This window comes from Homo sapiens, chromosome 16, assembly GCF_000001405.40.
Source record: "Homo sapiens chromosome 16, GRCh38.p14 Primary Assembly".
Taxonomy (NCBI): Eukaryota; Metazoa; Chordata; class Mammalia; order Primates; family Hominidae; genus Homo; species Homo sapiens.
The window spans coordinates 74,368,716-74,392,210 of NC_000016.10; the positions used below are offsets into that span (position 1 = coordinate 74,368,716).

At 47.0% G+C, this 23,495-nt stretch overlaps 1 protein-coding gene across 9 annotated transcripts, besides 1 other annotated feature; it reads left to right on the forward strand.

Moving 5' to 3' along the window:
- The first annotated feature begins 7,590 nt into the window (after nucleotides 1-7,590).
- NPIPB15 (nuclear pore complex interacting protein family member B15) lies at nucleotides 7,591-23,400 on the forward strand. 9 transcript variants are annotated; one of them, XM_047434161.1, is made up of 9 exons: nucleotides 8,532-9,024; nucleotides 9,237-9,324; nucleotides 12,801-12,983; nucleotides 16,627-16,726; nucleotides 16,839-17,034; nucleotides 21,110-21,170; nucleotides 21,280-21,315; nucleotides 21,391-21,462; nucleotides 22,676-23,400. In XM_047434161.1, exons 2-9 carry the CDS (start codon nucleotides 9,259-9,261, stop codon nucleotides 23,363-23,365), a joined length of 1,404 nt encoding a protein of 467 aa, XP_047290117.1. In that variant the 5' UTR covers nucleotides 8,532-9,024; nucleotides 9,237-9,258; the 3' UTR covers nucleotides 23,366-23,400. The 9 variants fall into 9 exon arrangements, with proteins under 9 accessions (NP_001293023.1, NP_001372667.1, NP_001372666.1 ...); NM_001306094.2 differs by lacking the exon at nucleotides 21,391-21,462 and having other exon boundaries at nucleotides 7,591-8,631; NM_001385738.1 differs by lacking the exons at nucleotides 9,237-9,324; nucleotides 21,391-21,462 and adding an exon at nucleotides 7,591-7,987 and having other exon boundaries at nucleotides 8,355-8,631.
- Nucleotides 12,266-12,483: a silencer, noted in NCBI's record as "fragment chr16:74414879-74415096 (GRCh37/hg19 assembly coordinates)". NCBI's record gives its function as "represses an EF-1alpha promoter that drives an FKBP-Casp9 reporter gene in an ReSE screen in K562 erythroleukemia cells {active_cell/tissue: K562}" and the evidence as "EXISTENCE:reporter gene assay evidence [ECO:0000049][PMID:32094911]".
- Nucleotides 23,401-23,495: the final 95 nt, after the last annotated feature.

A 23,495-nucleotide genomic window follows, 5' to 3' on the forward strand; every position in this document is an offset into this window, starting at 1 on the left:
GACGGACTAACGGACCTGAGTTCCCGGCCCTATCTTACTCTTCTCAGCTTCTCAGCTTGGCTCAGCTCAGAGGAAGAGGAATCACTGAAGTCTCAGAGAAGTCTCCACTCATCCCTTCCTCACCGTCACATCAGCCTTTTCTTTCCTTCTAGAAGTCATCACTGACTCAAGGATATAAGTTTGATGACTGTCTTTTCCACTGGTGTGACACGATCTCTGTCGACAGAACCTTAGTCTTATGCATAGCTTTATTCTCAGCACCCAGAACAGTGCCTGGCACCTCTTCCACTGAATATTATATGCATAAGGGTCTCATGCTGCAGCCACCATTGCATCTTGGGCCACACTATCCAGTTCCCGTTTGTTGGATTCAATACTGTCTCACCACACAAACCAATCTTGTGTTTTATTAATTAAAAAAAATTTTTTTTTTTTTTGTAGAGATAGGCTCACTGTGTTGCCCAGGCTGGGCCTGAACTCCTGGCTTCAAGTGATCCTTCCATCTCAGCCTCCCAAAGTCCTGGGATTACAGGCGTGAGCCACTGTGCCTGCCCCAATCTTGTGTTTTATTGCTGGCCACCTGTAGCCAGGCACTGTGCAGGATGATGGGATCCAGCAGTGTACAAGAAAGAGGCGGTTTCTGCTCTTAGGGAGTGGCAGTCAAGTTCCAGGGACCCCTCTGTCACAAGGCCAGGCCACAGCCTACATAGTTTATACCCCATTTACTGGCCAGTCAAATCACACAAAGACAGCCCAGATGAGGTCTGCCAGACAGTGGACTGAAACTATGCCATAGGCTCCTGTGCTAGATAAATACTTCCATATTTTAGCTAGGATTGAATGCTTGGGGACACCTACCTGTCTAAAAAAAGAGAAAACGGCTGACCAATTTGAGACATTCTCGGGGAAGGCTTTCCTGATGCCCAGATGTGGCAATTTCATGAAAAATATCACAGGTTTTCCTCATGAACCATTTGGTTCAAGCCATTTCCAGGCACATGAATTTGGGAGAAACCTGGTTGTCTGCAGGAGATGGTGGATGAAATCAAGTGAAATACTTAATGTGTTGATTTCATTCTGTTTACGTGCAGTAAATAGCAAACAAATGGTATAGATCTGTCCCTGATTTCCTTCTCCATCACCATGATCGGCCTCCACTCCAAAATGCTAAGTCAGGCTGGGTGCGGTGGCTCATGCCTATAATGCCAGCACTTTGGGAGGCCAAGGCAGTTGGATCACGTGAGGTCAGAAGTTCGAGACCAGCCTGATCAATATGGTGAAACCCCATCTCTACTAAAAAATACAAAAATTAGCTGGGCGTGGTGACACATGCCTGTAATCCCAGCTACTTGGGAGGCTGGGACAGGAGAATTGCTTAAACCCAGGAGGCGGAGGTTGCAGTGAGCTAAGATTGTGTCACTGCACTCTAGCCTAGGTGACAGAGCGAGACTGTCTCAAAAAAAAAAAAAAAAAAAAAGGAAGGAAGTCCTAAGGCCCCTTTCATTGTCAAAGATGGGTCTTGTCCTTAGTAGGTTCTCATAACCACTGATGCACTATTTTTTCTAGGGGGTTGAGTGTTTTTATTTTATTATTATTTTTTAGATGGAGGCTCACTCTGTTGCCCAGGCTGGAGTGCAATGGCGTGGTCTCGGTTCACTGCAACCTCTGCCTCCCAGGTTCAGGCGATTCTCCTACCTCAGCCTCCCCAGTAGCTGGGACTGTACAGGCGTGCGCCACCACGCTGGGCTAATTTTTGTATTTTTATTAGAGACAGGGTTTCACTATGTTGGCCAGGCTGGTCCCAAACTCCTGACCTCATGATCCGCCCACCTAGGCCTCCCAAAGTGCTGGAATTACAGGTGTGAGCCACCGCGTCCAGCCTATTTTTATTTTTTGAGATTAGCTCTCACTCTGTCACCCAGGCTGGAGCACAGTGGTGCAATCACGGCTCACTGCAGTCTTAACTTCCTGGGCTCTAGCGATTCTCCCACCTCAGCCTCCCGAATAGCTGAGACCTCAGGCGTGTTCCACCGTCCCCAGCTAACTTTTGTATTTTTTGGTAGAGGTGGGGTTTCACTATGTTGCTGAGGCTGGCATTAAACTCCTGACCTCAAGAGATCCACCTGCCTTGGCCTCCCAATGTGCTGGGATTAGAGGCATGAGCCACCACGTCCTGCCCTAAACAGACGTTTTAATTACGCTTGTCAAGTCCTCTTGTGAAATATTCATCTGCAGTGACTTGGTAAATGTGTTTGCTACCACACAGGATAAACAGTGTACAGACAAACATTTGACATACCTATGTTACCACAGTGTAAGAATGAATTTGGATCTGAGGTCGCTAAGATGCAGGCGTTTATCTTACCTCCCTCCAGCACCGGCATGGCTGTGGGGAAGGCCTCCCTCCTCCCTCTGAAGTTCTTGTCGCCATCAGTAGACTGGACATCTGCCTACAACCGACTTCACAGAAAGGACCTGACACCTGGCATGCTTCTCGTGTGCTTGAGAGCCTGTGTTTGTGTGGAAAGCAGGGATGTTCTCATTCACACCATGGGAAGAGAAGAATGTTGCGAGTAACAATCAGTACTTTTTTTTTTTTTTTTTTTTTTTGTGAGACAGAGTCTTGCTTTGTCACCCAGGCTGGAGTACGGTGGCGCGATCTTGGCTCACTGCAAGCTCTGCCTCCCGGGTTCACGCCATTCTCCTGCATCAGCCTCCCGAGCAGCTGGGACTACAGGCGCATGCCACCATGCCCAGCTAATTTTTGTATTTTTAGTAGAGACAGGGTTTCACCATGTTGGCCAGGATGGTCTCGATCTCTTGATCCACTGCGCCCAGCCAGGAACTTCTTTTTTTTTTTTGAGACGGAGTCTCACTGTGTCGCCAGGCTAGACTGCTGTAGTGCGATCTCGGCTCACTGCAACCTCCAACTCCCTGGTTCAAGGGATTCTCCTGCCTCTGCCTCCTGAGTAGCTGGGATTACAGGCGTGTGCCACCACACCCAGCTAAATTTTGTATTTTTAATAGAGATGGGGTTTCACTATGTTGGCCAGGATGGTCTCGATCTCCTGACCTTGTGATCCGCTCGCCTCGGCCTCCCAGAGTGTTGGGATTACAGGCATGAGCCACTACACCCGGCCTGGAACTTCTCTCTCTTTTTTTTTTTTTGAGACGGAGTCTCGCTCAGTCACCCAGGCTGGAGTGCAGTGGCACCATCTCGGCTCGCTGCAAGCTCCGTCTCCTGGGTTCATGCCATTCTCCTGCCTCAGCCTCCCGAGTAGCTGGGACTACAGGCGCCCACCACTATGCCCGGCTAATTTTTTTGTATTTTTAGTAGAGATGGGGTTTCACCGTGTTAGCCAGGATGGTCTCGATCTCCTGACCTCGTGATCTGCCTGCCTCAGCCTCCCAAAGTGCTGGGATTACAGGCGTGGGCCGCGGCACCCGGCCCAGGAACTTCTCTTATATCTAGAAGCCACCGGATGTTAACTAAGAGTCCTGGGAAGAAATGGTAGTCATTTAAAGCTTTTTTAAGAGGGAAGACTTGCACTGGGTCTTAATGAAAATACATAGGACAAAATTTTTCCTTCTGTATCAGCTCACGTAATCTTTCTGGCAATCTCATGAAGTAAATTTTAGCAGATAGAGTAGACACAGATGTAACATGACTTTTCCAAGATCACACACCTAGGAGGAAGGACCAGAAATGGAGCTCTTCCCATGTTGAATATCTGAATCTAATGATCTTTGCACTATGCCATAGGACAGGTGGCCAGGAAAGCATCTGAGACTGGGTGATGTAAGGGCTGGATACAGAGACAGAAAAAAGCAGGCAGTGTAACAGGAAGGAACGCAGCTAGCTATGGTAGATGGGATGTTGTTTTCAATTCCTCATTCCCTATTGCCATGTGACCTTGCAGTGCACGAAATGGGGGGAGTAGGATTCCTGTCCCACTGATGTTGGTTGGCTTCAGTCAAACATTATTATTATTATTTTGAGATGGAGTCTTGCTCTGTCGCTAGGCTGGAGTGCAGTGGCACGATCTCGGCTCACTGCAACCTCTGCCTCCTGGGTTCAAGCAATTCTTCTGCCTCAGCCTCCCGATTAGCTGGTACTACAGGAGCACGCCACCACACCCAGCTAATTTTTGTATATATAAATTTTTTTTAGTTGAGACAGGGTTTCACCATGTTGGCCAGGATGGCCTCAATCTCTTGACCTTGTGATCCGCCCGCCTTGGCCTCCCAACGTGCTGGGATTACAGGCGTGAGCCATTGCACCTGGCCAACCAAACTTATTTTTTAAGGTGGGTAGAAGCCATAGTGTACAGATCTGGAGATTGGCCTTAAGAGGTGTTGAGCATGTCATCAGCCCTTGTCACAAGTTTATGCCCTGAGTAGCTGTTGGATCATGGAAAGTGAAAGGCACTTGAAACAGACCTGAACTCAGCCTGAAGCCAAGCCTGCTGACCCTCAGCCTGAAACAAAGCTGTCCAAGCCTGCTGACCCTCAGTTTGAAACAAAGCTGTCCAAGCCTACTGACTCTCAGTTTGAAACACAGCTGTCCAGCTAGACCATAGTCACCTACAGTCTCATGAGCATGGCACTGAATGCTTTGTTGTAAGGCACTGAGTTTTGGGCTGGTTTACTAGGTAGCCTTTTTTGCAGCTCAAATAAAGGCTGTCTGATAGTGCAATTATATAAGAATGGTGAAATCAGGGCCTACGCCTTCTTAAGGAAATCTTCACTCACTGCAGTCTTGCAAGTCAATGGTCTTATTCTGCTTATCCAACTAATTCTGGAGCAGCTACATCTGGGAACCCCGTAGGCTCACGTCTACAACAGTGTCTTCATCCTGTCTTCTCAATCAGCCCCTTCTATTTCCAGTTCCAGGAATGGCCAACCACACCAGAAACCTGGGACTCACCTGGTCTCCCCACTCGCCTCTCCCTCCACCTCCTGCTCATCACCCAGCCTCAAAGGGTCTGTCTCCTCAGTGCCTCTCCTCTGTTCGGACCTCTCTGTCCCTACCACCGCTGCTGTGGTTGAGAGGGTTGTCAGCCCTGACTTCGAGAACAATCTTTTTTTTTTTTTGAGATGGAGCCTCAGTCTGTCGCCCAGGCTGGAGTGCAGTGGTGCGATCTTGGCTCACTGCAACCTCCGCCTCCCGGGTTGAAGTGATTCTCCTGCCTCAGCCTCCTGAGTAGCTGGGATTACAGGCATGCACCACCATGCCCCGCTAATTTTTGTATGTTTAGTAGAGACTGGGTTTCACCATATTGGTCAGGCTGGTCTCGAACTCCAAACCTTGTGATCCGCCCGCCTCTGAGATCAGAACTGAGATCACGCCACTGCATTCCAACCTGGGCAACAAGAGCTAACTCTGTCTCAAAAAAAAAAAAAAAAGTTTTTAAAGACAGGGTCTCGCTATGTTGCCCATGCTGGTCTTGAATTCCTGGGGTCAAGTGATGCTTCTGCTTTAGCCTCCCAAGGAGCTGGAATCATGGGTGCCCACCACCATGCTCGGCTACTATTTTCTTCAAAATTCAAATATTCTAGCTTAACAGTACCTATTAGATAAATAAATGGCAATTTTCTGGAACATTCTTTTTTTGGTTTTGTTTTGGTTTTTTTTTTTTTTTTTTTTTTTTGAAACGGAGTCTCCCTCTGTCGCCCAGGCTGGAGTGCAGTGGCGCAATCTCGGCTCACTGCCAGCTCCGCTTCCCGAGTTCACGCCATTCTCCTGCCTCAGCCTGCCGAGTAGCTACGACTACAGGTGCCTGCTACCACGCCCGGCTAATTTTTCTGTAGTTTTAGTAGAGACGGGGTTTCACCGTGTTAGCCAGGATGGTCTCGATCTCCTGACCTCGTGATCCACCCGCCTCGGCCTCCCAAAGTGCTGGGATTACAGGCTTGAGCCGTGGCACCCGGCCCAGGAACTTCTCTTATATCTAGAAGCCAGGCTTGGTGACTCTACTTGCTCACCAGATGATCCTACACCTGCCACCTCCGATGGATCCACTGCCTCTGTGCCTGCCTGTACTGCTGATGCTCCAGTGGATAACTCAGCATCCCAGCCTAGGCCCAATGCCACTGAAGATGGACCTGCCCCCTGGAGACCCAGGAGTTCTACCACTCAGCTGTCCCCAGAAGTGCCCAGACCCTCATTCTTATCCAGGACCTAGGAGCCCTACCCCCTGGCCTTCCGTCATCAGCCGTAAATGATGATTTACTGCTGTTACCATCATCACTGCATTTAGTAACCAAGGGCCTTCCAAGGTGCCAGCTCTGGAACGAAGGATGCCTTTGGGAGGTGATGACACTCAGGTACACGGGTGCTCAACAGATTGCTTCCTCCTATCCTCAGATGGTCTTTGCATGCATGCAGCCATTGGCACTCCCATTGTACGCAAGGAAACCAGCCCAGGGTCACACAGCTGGTCAGCAGCAACACAGCTGGTCTCAAATCTAAGGTGCCTGGCCATGCCTCCATGAGGGACCGCCTGCAAGGGAGGTTGATCCTGGCTTTGGGGAGCCTTTCCTGGGCTGCACGAGTAACCTCCAATGTTTGAGGCCCCAAACTCTGCTCACATCTTCCTTTCCCTGTCTCTGCTTGGGCTATGATCACGGTGACTCTAGCAACCCTTCATGGACATTATAGTACTCTCTGCCATTCACTTTTGGTCTAATCTGACTTCAACCCCCACTTACTTGGTCTCTCCTTTTACAACCAACACAACCGAAATCCGAGGGCTTCTTTTTTTTTGAGACAGAGTCTCATTCCATTCTGTCACCCAGGCTGGAGTGCAATGGCACGATCTCGGCTCACTGCAACCTCCACCTCCTGGGTTCAAGGGATTGTCCTGCCTCAGCCTCCTGAGTAGCTGGGATTACAGGCGGGTGCCACCGTGCCTGGCTAATTTTTGTATTTTTAGTAGAGACGGGGTTTCACCATGTTGGTCAGGCTGATCTCGAACTCCTAACCTCGTGATCCGCCTGCCTCAGCCTCCCAAAGTGCTGGGATTACAGGCGTGAGCCACCATGCCCAGCCAAATCTAGGGCTGGAACATGGCTGCAGCATATAAATAGAATTGAATTCCATAGTTTTGTTAACCCTGTTTTTTGTTTGTTTGTAGTTGTTGCTGTTTTTGAGACTGAGTCTCGCTCTGTCGCCTAGGCTGGAGTGCAGTGGTGCAATCTCGGCTCACTGCAGACTCTGCCTCCCGGGTTCAAACTATTCTCCTGCCTCAGCCTCCCAAGTAGGTGGGACTAAGGCGCCCACCACCACACCCGGCTAATTTTTGTATTTTATTAGAGACAGGGTTTCACCATATTGGCCAGGCTGGTCTGGAACTCCTGACCTTGTGATCCACCCACCTCGGCCTCCCAAAGTGCTGGGATTACAGGCGTGAGCCACCACACCCAGCCCCTGTTTTGTTTTTGTTTTGCTTGTTTCTTAGGGTTGTTTTTCTATTTATGGTAAAGGCATTGGCTTTCCATTTGTAGCATCAATAGAATATTTCCTGTTTACAATAACCTTATGTCATAGTAAATGGTAAAGGGATTTAAAGCAGTGGTTTTCAGCTGCCAGAGGCCTGAGTGAGTTTGGGCACACTCTGTGTGATCGGGCAGAAGGCCTGTGGGAAGTTCAGCTGAGGACAGGGCCAGGAAAGGTGATGGACAGTGGGGGTCTGTCCTGGTCACCAGACCCCTGGGTCCTGCCCACCTGCTTGGAGCTCCCCACCCATCACACATGATGCTGCCAAGCCCTCTGGGTATTGTGGGCAAATACCTTAGGAGAGAAGCTGATGAACTTTGTTTCTTGAAATGCACAGATTCCTTGGACGTCCCTGAGAGGTCAATGATGAAGGTCAACTTGGTTTTCTCCCCCTCATTTGGGTTCAGAATTTAAAGTCCACACACACAGGCAGTAAGATGATTATAGATAAGGACATCATCACTCGGTTTCAGATGTTAAAATGTCTAGGTGGGTTAGGGGTGATTTGAGATCACACAACCTTGTGCCACAAAGAGGAATTCCCAGGCCAGGGGGAGACATTTTATTGCCATGTTATGATCTCATCATTGAGTTGAAAGGCAATCTTGTTTCATTTTGGATTCTTTCTTATGTTTATGTCTTATAAGGGCACTTTGAATTTCCAAGCAAATAATAATTTTGAATTAGCTTTTAATCATTGACTTCTAGCACAGTTATATGATCAGAAACATGCTGTGTGATTTGATTGCTCTCAAATATATTGAGATTTGCTGGAACAAAATAAGTCAGGTTAATTTTTGTAAATGTACCATGCATGCTTAAAATGAATGTATCTACATTTGTTCCTGAGATACAGGTTGATGGACGGATGGCTACATGGATGTGATGGAGATGGTTTACTATCGGGACCTTCCGCATCCTGCTGATGTTTTGTTGCTTAGGATATGAATGGCTGAGCGGAGGCTGTAAAACCTGGCACTCTGCTTGGGTATGAAGTTCTTCCTGCCATCCTGCCATCATTTGTTTTTTATGTTTTGTCGCCAAAAGTGACCTTGAGGAACCCTGGGAGCTCAGGAAGGAAGGAGAGCCCAGAAGCAGGGACAGGGAGCTGGTTGGGGAGGACCAGAAATCAGGTTTGTGAAGGTTCCAGAGAGGACCTGTCCTTGCGAGGAGTGTGGGAGACTGAGATGGGGGAGGGGTCATTGGAATGATGCGGGCGCTACTTGGCATTGTCCATTGTGAGGCACCACCGGGGTCATCAGGGATTGGTGGAGAGGGAGTATAAAGCCCCAGGGTTGCTAAGGGAGGGCCCAGACCGAAGAAGGTTTGGTGGATAGCAGAACCTTTTTGTCTCCCTCTAATTGCTCCTAAGCCTCACGCTCCCTTGCCCCACGTGTCCTGTTGCTTCCCTGATCTTCTCCGTGACCTGTAGCTAAACCTTCCACCAGCGCTTGAGAACTTAATTTGAACCGGATCCTTTCCCAGACCCCTTTCTTCTCCTCCTCCTCCTCCTCCACCTCCTCCAGGTGCCCAACAGCCCCCTTCTCCTCCTTTCCCTTCCCTTACTTCCCCCCTTCCCCTCCCCTCCCCCTCCCCCTCCCCTCCCCCTCCCCTCCCCCTCCCCTCCCCCTCCCCTCCCCCTCCCCTCCCCCTCCCCAACTTAGATCCGGCCCCGGTCCCCGTCCCCTTCCCTCCCCCCTGCCCTAAGCCACCTCCACCTCTGTCCTGGCCGCCTCAGGGCGCCCTGAAAGGACCAGGACATGCGGCTGCGCTTTTGGCTCCTCATTTGGCTCCTGCTGGGATTTATCAGCCATCAGCCCACCCCTGTGAGTAGACGCTGGACCCGCCGGGTTTCTTCCTTTTTACTGGGCTGTGTCACGCGGCATGAAATTACACAGCTCAGGCCTGTAATCCCAGCACTTTAGGGGGCCGAGGTGGGCAGATCACTTGAGTCCAGGAGTTGAAGACTAGCCAGGGCATCATGGCGAAACCCCATCTCTACAAAAAATTCCAAAAAAGATTAGTCGGGCCTGGTGGTGCGTACCTGTTATCACAGTTACTGGAGAGGCTGAGGTGGGAGGATCGCTTGGGCCCAGGAGCTGGACGTTGCAGTGAGCTGAGATGGCCCCGCTGCACTCTTGTCTCTAACAAACAAAATGGACCAAAACAAAGTGAAATGTCATTTGATTTGTGTCACCTGGTTTGATGCCTTTTTTTTTTTTTTTTTTTTTTTGACAGAGTCTCACTCTGTCGCCCAGGCTGGAGTGCAGTGGCAAGATCTCGGCTCACTGCAACCTCCGCTTCCGGGGTTCAAGCAATTGTCCTGCCTCAGCCTCCTGAGTAGCTCAGATTACAACGCCTGGCTAATTTTTGTATTTTTAGTAGAGACGGGGTTTTACCATGTTCGCCAGGATAGTCTCCATCTCTTGACCTCGTGATCCGCCTGCCTCGGCCTCCCAGTGCTGGGATTACAGGCGTGAACCACCGCGCCTGGCCAAAATATATAACCTTAAGTGTAAGTTTACTAACTTTGGAAAGTACATACACCAGCATAAACCGACCCCCTTTCAAGATCTACATTATTTTATTTATTTATTTATTTATTTGAGACAGTTTCTCCCTTGTTGTCCAGGCTGGAGTGCAATGGGGCAATATCAGCTCACCGCAACCGCTGCTTCCCAGGTTCGAGCGATTCTCCTGCCTCAGCCTCCCGAGTGGCTGGGATTACAGACATGTGCCACCACTCCCAGCTAATTTTGTATTTTTAGTAGAGATAGGGTTTCTCCATGTTGGTCAGGCTGGTTTTGAACTCCCGACCTCAGGTGATCCGCCCGCCTTGGCCTCCCAAAGTGTTGGGATTACAGGCGTGAACCACCGTGCCCAGCCAAGATCTACACTATTATGTCACCCCAGAAAGTGAACTCCCACTCTTCCCAGCCAGTCTCTTTCTTATCATAGGTTAGCTTGCTTATTCTGGAATTTCGCGTATACAGATGCATGCCATGCCATAGGTACTCTTTTGTGTCTGCTTTATTCTGCTCAACACCATGTTTCTGAAATCATTACCGTTGTTGTATGGTTCTCTAACTCCATCATTTCCATTTCAGACTCAGCATATGCTGAGTTCCACCTGTTGAAGGGCTATCTCTGTTTAATTCACCATCTTGAAAGAAACATTTAAAATTGAGATGTTTTCAAGAATATATAGTTAAATCCTGAGGAATCGATGTAGAAATGTTATCACAAGCTGTCTGAACTTACTCAGGGGAAGTCTTCGTCTTCACTCACATAAGAGTCTAATGGAATTAATATCAACAATCTTAGAGAAATCCCACACTATTCATGCCATTTTCATGATCTCCACCTTGGTAATTTTTTTTTTTTTTTTTTTTTTGAGACAGAGTCTCGCTCTGTCACCCAGGCTGAAGTGCAGTGGTGCGATCTCGGCTCACTGCAACCTCTGCCTCCTGGGTTCAAGTGATTCTTCTGCCTCAGCCTCCCAAGTAGCTGGAACTATAGGCACGTGCCACCATGCCCTGCTAATTTTTTGTAATTTTAGTAGAGATGGGTTTCACCGTGTTAGCTAGGATGGTCTCAATCTCCTGATCTCGTGGTCCACCCACCTCGGCTTCCCAAAGTGCTGGGATTGCAGGCGTGAGCCACCACACCCGGCCCACCTTGTTAATTTTTAAGCACTAAAATTTGATACTTATTTGTGAATGAAGTAATCTCTTCATTGTATTTTTTTTTTTTTTTTTACTTATGCTGAGCTTTAAATGACAAAGATTCATATAATCCAAGAGAGAAGTATTATTTAGAGGGATTCTTTTACCATGTGATATATAATAAATGCATCCAATGTTATACATCAATTTAAAAAACAAGTAAATAACTTTAAAGAAAAGATAACTACTGGCCAGGTGCAGTGGCTCACACCTGTATTCCCAGCACTTTGGGAGGCCGAGGCAGGTGGATCAAGAGGTCACGAGTTGGAGACCAGCCTGGCCAAGATGGTGAAACCCTGTTTCTACTAAAAATACAAAAATTAGCCGAGTGCGGTGGCAGGCGCCTGTAATCCCAGTTACTCAGTAGCTGAGGCAGGAGAATCGCTTGAACCCGGGAGGCGGAGGTTGCAGTGAGCTGAGATCATGCCACTGCAATCTAGCCTGGGTGACAGAGCAAGACTTTGTCTCCAAACAAAAAGAAAAGATAATTACTTTATACTTAGCTTGTCTTAGCCATGAGTGACGGGCTGCATGTGGCCCAGGACAGTTTTGAATGCAGTTCAACACAAATTTGTAAACTTTCTTAAAACATTAGGAGATTTTGGCCAGGTACAGTGGCTCATGCCTGTAATCCCAGCACTTTGGGAGGTTGAGGCGGGCAGATTACCTGAGGTCAGGAGTTCGAGACCACCCTGGCCAACATGGCAAAACCCCATCTCCACAAAAAATACAAAAATTTGCTGAGTGCATTGTCAGGCACCTGTACTCCCAGCTACTCAGGAGGCTGAGGCAGGAGAATCACTTGAACCTGAGAGGCAGAGGTTGCAGTGAGCCGAGAGCACGCCACTGCACTCCAGCCTGGGTGACAGAGTGAGACCCCATCTCAAAAACAAAACACCAAACAAAAACAAAAACAAAAAAAAATGGCTGGGCACGGTGGCTCACACCTGTAATCCCAGTACTTTCAGAGGCCGAGGCAGGCAGATCGCCTGCCAGGAGTTCAAGGCCAGACTGGCCAACATGGTGAAACCTCATCTCTACTAAAAATACAAAAATGAGTCGGGCATGGTGGCAGAGACCTGTAATCTCAGCTACTCGGGAGGCTGAGGGAGGAGAATGGCTTGAGCCCAGGAGCTGGAGGTTGCAGTGAGCCGAGATTGCACCACTGCACTCCAGCCTGGGCGACTGAGTGGAGCGGAACTCTGTCTCCAAAAAAAAAAAAAAAGAGTTTTTTTTTAGATCATCAGCTATTGTTAGTGTTAGTGTATGTTATGTGTGGCTCAAGACAACTTTGCTTCTTTTAATATAGGCAGGGAAGTGAAAAGATTGGATATCCCTGCTTTATACCAAGAAAGACAACACCCCACATTTGCAATGCCTAAAAACACTACCAGCCATCTGAAAAACATGAGACTTCTAACTTCTGTTCTTTTTTGTAGCAGTGGAATCCCACGGTGATATCTGAGGGATGTGGTTACCTTTTGGAGGAGGTTGACGGTTTCTAAGGATGATTCTTTCTGAGTGAAATATTGTCGGTGTCATTGACCTTTTCATTCTTTCAACTATTATTATTCCAGGTCATCAATAGTCTGGCTGTCTATCGTCATCGTGAGACTGACTTTGGTGTAGGAGTTCGAGACCACCCTGGCCAACATGGCAAAACCCCATCTCCACAAAAATTGGATAATTTGATAATTATCATTATTGGGTTTCTGAGACGTGACACATTTACCATTCTCTTCTGCACAAGTTACCTTTGTGTGAGTATACTAACTTTCTGTAGAGGTATACTTGTAATCACAAATAAGAATAAATTATATAAAACAATTCACGTTTCTGGACTTCATTATGAATATGTGGTTTTACCCAAAAAATCAGGGAAATGATTTATTAGCATAAGAATTATGAAAATGTCTGCCATTTACATTATGAAAATTAAATAGGTCGGTGTTTGTTTAATAGAATGTCAACAGAGCTTTTGGTCAAAAATAAGTTTTTTTAGCCTTTGTGCTATTTATCACAAATGGAGTATGAGGTTTCGTCACTTAAATAGGAAATTCTTTCTAAACTCTTCTGCTTTATAGTTCTATCGTATGGGTGGAAGGAAAGCTTCCAATCTCCTCTCTGAAGATTCACTGCAGAAATGAGCTGACAACAGACAGCTTAACAGGAAAAGAAAAACATAGAACAGGCATAAACATGGGAACCAGCTGAAAAATGAGACTGCTAGAAGGGCCGGATGGTTGATGCTTAAAGAGCACCCTCTTCTGAGGGGAGAGGGAGATAGATGGAGATGTAGGCCATTTAGAGGGGCAGCAAATGATTTTTAGGGGAAATGAAAGAGGCCAAGGAACAAACAATTGGCCTGAGACAAAGTTCCTCTGAGGTCATAGGGACGAGGTGACAAACTGCCGGAAGGTGAAGGGCAGAACTGCACTGCGTCTCATGATGCAGAGAAAGCCCCAGAGAATCTCTTAGAACTGCCCTCCAAGAGAATCAATGAAAAGTGTGTCTGGGCAGGGTAATTTTGAATGACATCATTCAAAGTGCATGTTCCCACTTGCAACTGGAAAGAGATCAGTATGTCAAAAGTCTGTACTTGGTAAGAATTTGGCTGCTAAGTTGTGCCATAATTTGTCTTTTGAGCCTTTTTTCCTTTGGGTAAGTTGAGCTCTACATTTTGTCTTACCATTCATGACAGTAAAAATGTGGTTTTCTGGGGGCTGAACCTCCTTCTGAACAATGATCCAAGATAAAAGTACTAATACCACAATGCTTTTTTATATTCAAGGGAAGAGGAAGTATGTTTCAGTTTTACCACCTAGATAATTACAAGTCATTTGGCACTGCCTTTCAAGATATGTAGAAAACAGAAAATATATGAGTTATGAAGATATCTAGGCACATTTAACATTCTCTATGCCACTTAGTCCTGAACAGAGAATTTTTGGTATAAATTGGAGGAAGCTTTTTTTTTTTTTTTTTTTTTCTTTTCTCACCCCCGAAACGAGTCTCCCTCTGTTGCCCAGGCTGGAGTATAATGGTGTGATCTCGGCTCACTGCAACCTCCACCTCCTGGCTTCAAGCGATTCCCCTGCCTCAGCCTCTCAAGTAGCTGGGATTACAGGTGCCCACCACCATGCCCAGCAAATTTTTGTATTTTTAGTAGAGTCGGGGTTTTACCATGTTGGCCAGGCTAGTCTCAAAACCCGACCTCAAATGATCCACCCGCCTCAGCCTCCCAAAGTGCTGGGATTACAAGCGTGAGCCACCACGTGAGCCAGGGGAAGTTTTTAAATTTACCACTTTTTAACAGTTCCATTTAGGAAAGTTCAGTTGAGCTGCTGGACTTGGACAACTTCGCACCTCTCATCTTTGTCCTTGTCATCTAGTCATCTATACCATTACCTCCTAAGCAGGGACATCATGGGTGCCATGAAGCATTCATGCGTGATGGCATTTCTTTGCTTCTCATTTCTTCATGTGTTTGACATTTCTCCTAGCTCCAAACTGGGCCAGCTACCTTTCCTATGAAATCTAGTAGTAGCTGTGGGATTGACGTGGTTGCTCTTTTCATCTTTTTAGATTACCCATTGCTTCTCTCGAAATCCTAGTATATGATTTTTTTTTTTTATCCTATGTGCAGAAATCAGGAAAAAACAAATTCTACAAAGAATTTGAAAGATATTATTTCAGGCCAGGTGTGGTGGCTCATGCCTGTAATCCCAGCACTTTGGGAGGCTGAGGCAGGTGGATGACTTGAGGTCAGGAGTTCAAGACCAGATGGGCCAACATGGTGAAACCCCATCTCTACTAAAAAGACAAAAATTAGCCAGGCATGGTAGCAGGCACCTATAATCCCAGCTACTTGGGAGGCCGAGGCACAAGAATCGCTTGAATCTGGGAGGTGGAGGTTGCCGTGAGCCAAGGTAGCGCCACTGCACTTCAGCATGGTTGAGAGTGACACTCCATCTCAAGAAAAAAGTCATTTCAATGACTACCTCAGGAGATTCATAGGTATCTGACCCACATCTGAGATGGGATTTGCATTGCATTTTCGCTATGATGAGAACAAATATTTAATATCTTAGAAGATTAAAAGCATACTGTGATAATATGGAAATCTTGGTGGGAATTCAGTCATTAGTGAGAATGTTTTGCGTTAAGTTCAAACCAGCCTCAATGAAGCTGATGTGAGGGAAGGGAAAGTGAACTCTGAGTAGAGCAGGGACAGAAGGAAGATGCTCCAGTGCAGATCAGGAAGGAGCAGGGGGTGAAATGTTACAAATTCTAGAACTCAGAGAGCTGAAGGTAATTACTTCCTTTTCAAGTTGTGAAACATGTTAACCTGTGGTAAAATACTTATAAGATGATAATTACCATCTAACCGTGTTGAAGTGTACAGTTCAGTTGTGTGAAGTATATTCATGTCATTTTTTTTTTTTTTTTGAGACGGAGTCTCACTCTGTCACCAGGCTGGAGTGCAGTGGTGGGATCTTGGCTCACTGCAACCTCTGCCTCCTGGGTTCAAGCAGTTCTCCTGCCTCAGCCTCCCGAGTAGCTGGGACTACAGGCGTGCATCACCATGCTCAGCTAATTTTTGTATTTTTAGTAGAGACGGGGTTTCACCATGTTGCCCAGGATGGTCTCCATCTCTTGACCTTGTGATTCACCCGCCTCAGCCTCCCAAAGTGCTGGGATTACAGGCGTGAGCTACCGCACCTGGCCTATTTTTTTTTTTTTTTTTTTTTTTTTTTTTGAGACAGAGTTTCAATTTTGTTGCCCAGGTTTGGAGTGCAATGGCACAATCTCAGCTCACCACAACCTTTTCCTGCTGGGTTCAAGTGATTCTCCTGCCTCAGCCTCCCGACTAGCTGGGATTACAGGCATGCACCACCATGCCTGGCTAATTTTGTATTTTTAGCAGAGACAGCATTTCTCCATGTTGGTGAGGCTGGTCTCAAACTCCCGACCTCAGGTGATCCACCTGCCTCGGCCTCCCAAAGTGCTGGGATTACAGGAGTGAGTCACCGTGCCAGCCTCATGTCATTCTTGTGTGTGTGTGTGTGTGTGTGTGTGTGTGTGTGTGTGTGTGTGACAGAGTCTCATTCTGTCGCTCAGGCTGGAGTACAGTGGTGTGATCTCGGCTCACTGCAACCTCCGCCTCCCAGCTTCAAACGGTTCTCTGCCTCAGCCTCCCGAGTAGCTTGGATTACAGGCGCCCGCTGCCATGCCTGGCTAATTTTTGTATTTTTAGTAGAGACAGGGTTTCACCATCTTGGCCAGGCTGGTCTTGAACTCCTGACCCCGTGATCCACCTGCCTCGGCCTCCCAAAGTACTGGGATTATTTATACGCATGAGCCACCGTGCCCAGCCGTCATTCTTATATTATTATTTCCTAGGTGTCTTTCCTGAAGACTATCTTCTGGTCTCGAAATGGACATGATGGATCCACGGATGTACAGCAGAGAGCCTGGAGGTCCAACCGCAGTAGACAGAAAGGTATGGCTCTGTTGGAGTCCCCATAGTGTGGAAATGAGTTTGCCCTGGAAAGGGAAAGAACAGCTTCTTGACCTCAGGTTTCTCACCTTCTCCTCTCCTCACTCTCACCAAGGGCTGAGGTCCATTTGTATGCACACAAAGAAAAGAGTTTCTTCCTTTCGAGGAAATAAAATTGGCCTGAAAGACGTCATTACTCTACGGAGGCATGTGGAAACAAAAGTTAGAGCTAAAATCCGTAAGAGGAAGGTGACAACGAAAATCAACCGTCATGACAAAATCAATGGAAAGAGGAAGACCGCCAGAAAACAGTAAGATGTGCCTTGACACAAATACTGTTGTATGAACCATGTGCCAATCAAAGTAGACAACTGTAAAGTCCTTGAGAATATTTTCTACAATATTTGTGGCAAATTCAGTGGGCTCAAAATTGAGTTTGTCCTTTCTGCTTCATTAGTTTAAGCTGTATAATTCCTTTCCCTTCCTACATTCTTGTTTGTAATTTTTTCGGGGGAAGAGGAGTTGCTAGTACTGGCATTGGTTTTCCTTTCTCTCTTTTTTTTTTTTTTCCTGAGATGGAGCTTTGCTGTTGTTGCCCAGGCTGTAGTGCAATGGCACAATCTCAGCTCACTGCCTTTTGGCTTCAAGCAATTCTCCTGCCTCAGCCTCCCAAGTAGCTGGGATTACAGGTGCCCACCACCACGCCCAGCTAATTTTTGTATTTTTACTAGAGATGGGGTTTCACCATGTTGTCCAGGCTGGTCTCGAACTTCTGACCTCAGGTAATCCACCTGCCTCAGCCTCCCAAAGTGCTGGGATTAGAGGTGTGAGCCACCACACCCAGCCTTTTTTTTTTTTTTTTTTTTAAATTTTGAGATAGAATCTCGCTCTGTCGCCCAGGCTGGAGTGCTATGGTGCAATCTTGGCTCACTGCAACCTCTGCCTCCCAGTTTGAAGCAATTCTGCCTCAGCTTCCTGAGTAGCTTGGATTACAGGTGTGTGCCACCACATTCGGCCAATTTTTTTTTTTTTTTTTTTGAGACAGAGTCTCACTCTGTCACCCAGGCTAGAGTGCAGTGGCATGATCTTGGCTCACTGCAACCTCCGCCTCCCAGGTTCAAGCGATTCTTATCCCTCAGCCTCTTGAGTAGCTGGGACTACAGGCATATGCCACCATGCCCGGATAATTTTTGTATTCTTAGTAGAGGCGGGGTTTCACCATATTGGCCAAGCTGGTCTAGAACTCTGGACATCATGATCCACATACCTCGGCCTCCCAATGTGCTGGGATTACAGGCGTGAGCCACCGTGCCCGGCCCAATTTTTGTATTTTTAGTAGAGACAGGGGTTCACCATGTTGGCCAGGCTAGTCTTGAACTCCTGACCTCAGGTGATCTGCCTACCTCAGCCTCCCAGTGTGAGCCACCGCACCCAGCCTGGATTGTTGAATTCAATGCTTGGGTCACCTCCAGATTCATTTTCACAGTCTTTCATGTTTTGGTCATATTACATTGTATTTTGCTGCCATATGACTGATCTCTTTTTGTTAAATGTGAGATACTTGTTAAAAAATATTTAGCAATGAATTGAGGCCTAGTGGCATGTTATCTTGCTGCAGAAGAGATGGGAGTCTACTTCTGGGGGATGGTCACGGGTCCTCCATACAGGCTGCAATTGAGGTCGTCGGTGCAGGCTCAGTCCCTAGAAAGGCCAGGGTATTTCCTGTCCACCTCTATTCTGATGCATGACTCTTCTGGGTCTCAACCAGAGCCAGTGGACTTCAGTACGGGTCGCTTTCATTGGCAGACCCTCAATCCACTTGTTTTCCATCTAATCCCACGCATGTGTGCAAAAGCTGCTGTGCTTCTTTGCATCTCAGTAGTTCCTTCTGGAATTCAGCAATGAAACTCAGGGAAATGGATTCCAAATGCGAGGCTGACTTTCGTCCTGGGTTTCCTTCTTCTCCATCTTCACCTCATGTCTGTTTACTGCCATGTTAGCTATTTGATGTATTCAATCATGGGTTTTATATTCTGTTTGGTGTCCCCCATTGTTCTCATCGGAGATCAGAAGCTTCAGATGCACTTATGTCAACTCAAGAGTAGAATGCTTCCTTAGCTTCCCTCCAGAGTCAGGTTTTGTGTTTCTAGTTCCCAAGTGCACAGCAGGAGTAGTGATGTCCTCACTGGCTTCTCATTTGCATTAAACTGTGAGCTTCTTTAGCGTGGGGACAGGACCCTGCTCCCATTGCATTCTCAGCACCACACCACACACTCCTTGTTGGAGGCCACTCCAGACAGCATGTGCTGAAGGATGCCCTGTGGTCAGAAACAAGTTCATTAACTTTCCCTTTGAAGTGTTTTCGCCCCTGTTTCCTAGCGTTCTGGGAATTTTACACATCCTTCCTATAAAACCAAGTATCAGGTGAGATCCTTAGGATCAGGACCATGAATCAAGTGGTGTGAGGGCAACACAGCAAACTTACCCTTTTTAGGCCATTTCCTTTTTCTGCCCTCAAACTCTGTGAACTGAACCTTGTTAAAGTCAGTCAACACCAGGGTGGATGGTTTGCCGTTGTCACCTATTTTCAGGACATAACACCCTGACTTAGGAGCCATTCCGATCATTTCTAATTCAATAGATGCACCCAGCATTCAGATTGCCTTTTCTCTCAACCAGGATCTTTAAAGTCGATGACAAGAGTTCCAGTCCTGAATCATGGCAAAGTGCAGTAGTGAACTGCGGGGTTAATGACACCATATTCTGGAAGGATCTCTCTATGGCTGATGGTCTCAGTTCTGGCATCAGCCTCTGACTGAGAAGCAGGTCTCACACAGGAAGAGTCAGATGAGGAGCAATCCTCTGCTTCCGATGGAGTTAGTTGTGATGAGTTGGTGAGGTCTGGTTTTTCACACTGAACTAAAATGATCTTTCGCTGTGTCAAACACAAGACTGACCCCAGACACACACATAGTGCACCTCATAGAAGCTTTTAATAGTCTTTATATTTACTAAAGAATAGGACTAACTATGGAACTATGAAGATGAGCTGGAAATGACAGGTGACTTGCCAGCAGGCCAGAGTGTGATTTTTTTTGGTCCCTCAATGGGAGGTGTCCATTCTCCCTTCGGTTGTGAGAATCAGTTGGTTCATTTGTGGGAAGGTTGCAGGGGGGATCTTTGAATCACAGCCTTCAGATGCCAGAAGGGCAGAGGGAATCCCACATGGACTGGTGGATCATGTGTGTGCATTTCTCTCCCTTCTAACCTGAGGAAACTAAGCATGAAAGAATGTGAGCACACAGAAAAGGAGAGGCAGGTATCAGAGGCAGAGGAAAATGGGAAATTGGATATGAAAGAAATACACACCTACAAGTGAGTTCAGAAACTGAACCCCACCCTCCTGGGAAACGCCCATTGGAGTGTTGTTTATAACCTCTGTACAATGTTTAGACCCAGTAAATGCAGAAATAGAAACAAATGGTCAGAAGACCTATCGTGAGAGAGAGAGAGAGTTCACAAAACAGAAAACAAAGTACCTGAATATTTACCAGTGACCAAAAGATGTGAAGTAGCAAAACGTCTCCTGACCCCATTGCCAGCTAGACTGTGTGGAAACTCGGTTCATACCAGCCATTCTAGGGGTGGGGTGAGTTGTTGTCATCCTTAGGAAAGTGTGTTGTTGTAGGATCAACCACATCCTTCAAAAGGACTATGCCTGTTTATAAGCCCAGCTCTTTCTGCCCTGTGAAACACGGTAAGGATATTAATACAAAGAGAATACAGCTTTATGATAAAAGATGCTCAATGAAGGATGAATTAGGGATATACTGAGAATGGGGAAGGAAACTATCATCTCAGAAGTCAGCAGGCAGTAAGCAAGAGGAGGAATCAATATAGCAACAGTTTGGATCAGACCGTACAGTTTTTTTGTTTTTGTTTTTGTTTTTCTGAGATGGAGTCTCACTGTGTCACCCAGGCTGGAGTGCAATGACGTGATCTTGGCTCACTGCAACCTCCGCCTCCCAGGTTCAAGTGATTCCCCTGCCTCAGCCTCCCGAGTAGCTGGGATTACAGGTGCCTGCCACCACGCCCGGCTAATCTTTTGTATTTTTAGTAGAGACGGGGTTTCACCGTATTAGCCAGGATGGTCTCAATCTCCTGACCTCGTGATCCATCCGCCTCGCCCTCCCGGAGTGCTGGGACTACAGGCATCAGCCACCGTGACCGGCTCAGACTGTACTCTTATAGCCATCTGAAATACGTTTTCTAGGTAGAGATAGATTGTGTAAGGGTACAGTTGTGAGGATAACAGAAACATGGCAGATTATTTAAAATCATCCTGAACATGGTGCTTTATCTGATGAAAGTGATTGTAATCCATAGGAAAATGTTTCAACGTGCGCAAGAGTTGCGGCGGCGGGCAGAGGACTACCACAAATGCAAAGTAAGGAGCTTCCTCCCCGCAGTTGCAGGATAGTTCAGTGCTGATGCAGATGATGCCACGGCTCTTAGACTCTCTCAACATTCAATTTCTCATGTGTTGGCTTTTTCAGATCCCCCCTTCTGCAAGAAAGCCTCTTTGCAACTGGGTAAGTTTGCTTGTTTTCCTTGCTTTTGAACATAGTCTGCCAGGTCAGGACATGGATACATTTTTCTCCCTACAGCTCTGTGCTCAAGCCCTGCAGAGGGAGATGGCAGAGAGGAAGGCTGCCTACAGGCATCACAGTCCCATCCCTGTTGGTAACCGTGTTGTGCAAAAACACCTTCATCCCCACCCAGTGGGGCCCCTGATCTAATATTCAAAGTGTCAGAGGTTCCATATTTGTAATAGCAAATGGGCCCTGACTGTAAATTAGTGAAGAGTGAATGTAACTTATTACCCACAGGGACAATTCCAAATGAAGGCCTTAAATGATGCTCAGCTAAGCTGGTTCTTGTGTGGCCTCTGTACCTTCAAAAGCTGCCGAGTCCTATGATTACACGTGATGGGACTTGTGCACTTGAAGTGAAACACAGTTTTAAAACTTGCTTTGTTTAGAATTCCCACCTCATTTTTCCATGGACAAAAGTATTCTTTATGTCCTAGTGCACTTACAATTTGGTATTACCTGGGAGTGAAAAGAAATATTACAGCCATGCCTAACTGACTTCTTGAGGTAAGATTGTTCTGTCAGAAAACCCTCTCCCAGTTCCCCTGCAGCTCTTCAGGAACCCACATCTCTCCAGAGCTCTTTGTTCTCATGGGTGGCACCTCCAGAGTGAAGAAGATCCTTTGTCAAGAAGGGAAACAGAGGGGAAATGAGAGGGTCCTGCAGGCAGAGCTGGAATCAACTTCCACTCTGCCTCTTGCAAGCTGTGTGACCCTGGGCACAATTTCTCCTTCCTCTGGAAACCTCTGTTTTCTTAGATTTGGAGCAGGGTGGTCACACTGACCTTGCAGAGTCCTGAGAATCAGAGACAGAACATAAAAGGCCTGGAAAACATTCTCCAAAAAGAAGCTGCAACATGTGTGGACAATGGGCTTTTCATGCCTCTCTTACTGTCTCTTACTGTCTGTTGACCTGGTGCAAGAAACATGCTCTGGTGATGGCTGTGAGGGAGGAATGAGGATAGACATAGACACTCCTGTGTCTCAAACATGCCTCTTTATTACTCTGTTATGACTCTGTCTTCCCTGGGGCAGGACCCCAGCCTGCCTACATTTGCAGACAGACACAGTGGCATGTGGAGACAACAGTGTGTCCCAATGACTTTTCTTTACTCCCCAGCTGTCGGCAGTACTCAGTGGAAGGGTGATATCATGACACTGATACTGCTATTTTGAAACCTGGAGGATGGAAAGGTGCAAAAATCTATCACCAGCAACAGAAGGTGCAGACTGTGTTGGTGGCGGTAATTTTGTCCATCAAATGAATATGTGTGAAAACATTCCCTCCTTTGGCCCTACAGGTCAGAATGGCGGCAGCGGAGCATCGTCATTCTTCAGGATTGCCCTGCTGGCCCTACCTCACAGCTGAAGCTTTAAAAAACAGGATGGGCCGCCAGCCACCTCCTCCAACTCAACAACATTCTATAACTGATAACTCCCTGAGCCTCAAGACACCTCCCGAATGTCTCCTTCATCCCCTTCCACCCTCAGTGGATGATAATATCAAGGAGTGTCCTCTTGCTCCTCTTCCACCCTCAGTGGATGATAATCTGAAGGAGTATCTCCTGGTCCCTCTTCCACCCTCTCCTCTTCCACCCTCAGTGGATGATAATCTGAAGGACTGTCTCTTTGTCCCTCTTCCACCCTCTCCTCTTCCACCCTCAGTGGATGATAATCTCAAGACTCCTCCCTTAGCTACTCAGGAGGCCGAGGCGGAAAAACCACCCAAACCCAAGAGGTGGAGGGTGGATGAGGTGGAACAATCACCGAAACCCAAGAGGCGGAGGGCGGATGAGGTGGAACAATCGCCCAAGCCCAAGAGGCAGAGGGAGGCCGAGGCACAACAATTACCCAAACCCAAGAGGCGGAGGTTGAGTAAGCTGAGAACACGCCATTGCACTCAAGCCTGGGCAATAAGAATAAATCCGTGGGTCGAAAAAAAGAAAAAAATCAAAAAACAAAACAAAACCCACGCTCCAAAAACAAACTAACGAAGAATAAATAAATAATATAAAAATAAAATAAATACTGCAGTCCTTATGTTATTGCTTTGTTTCAATATCTGGTATGATTGCCTGAGGGACCTGAGGTTTTTAATTAATTGTAGGGTTTTTTTTTAAT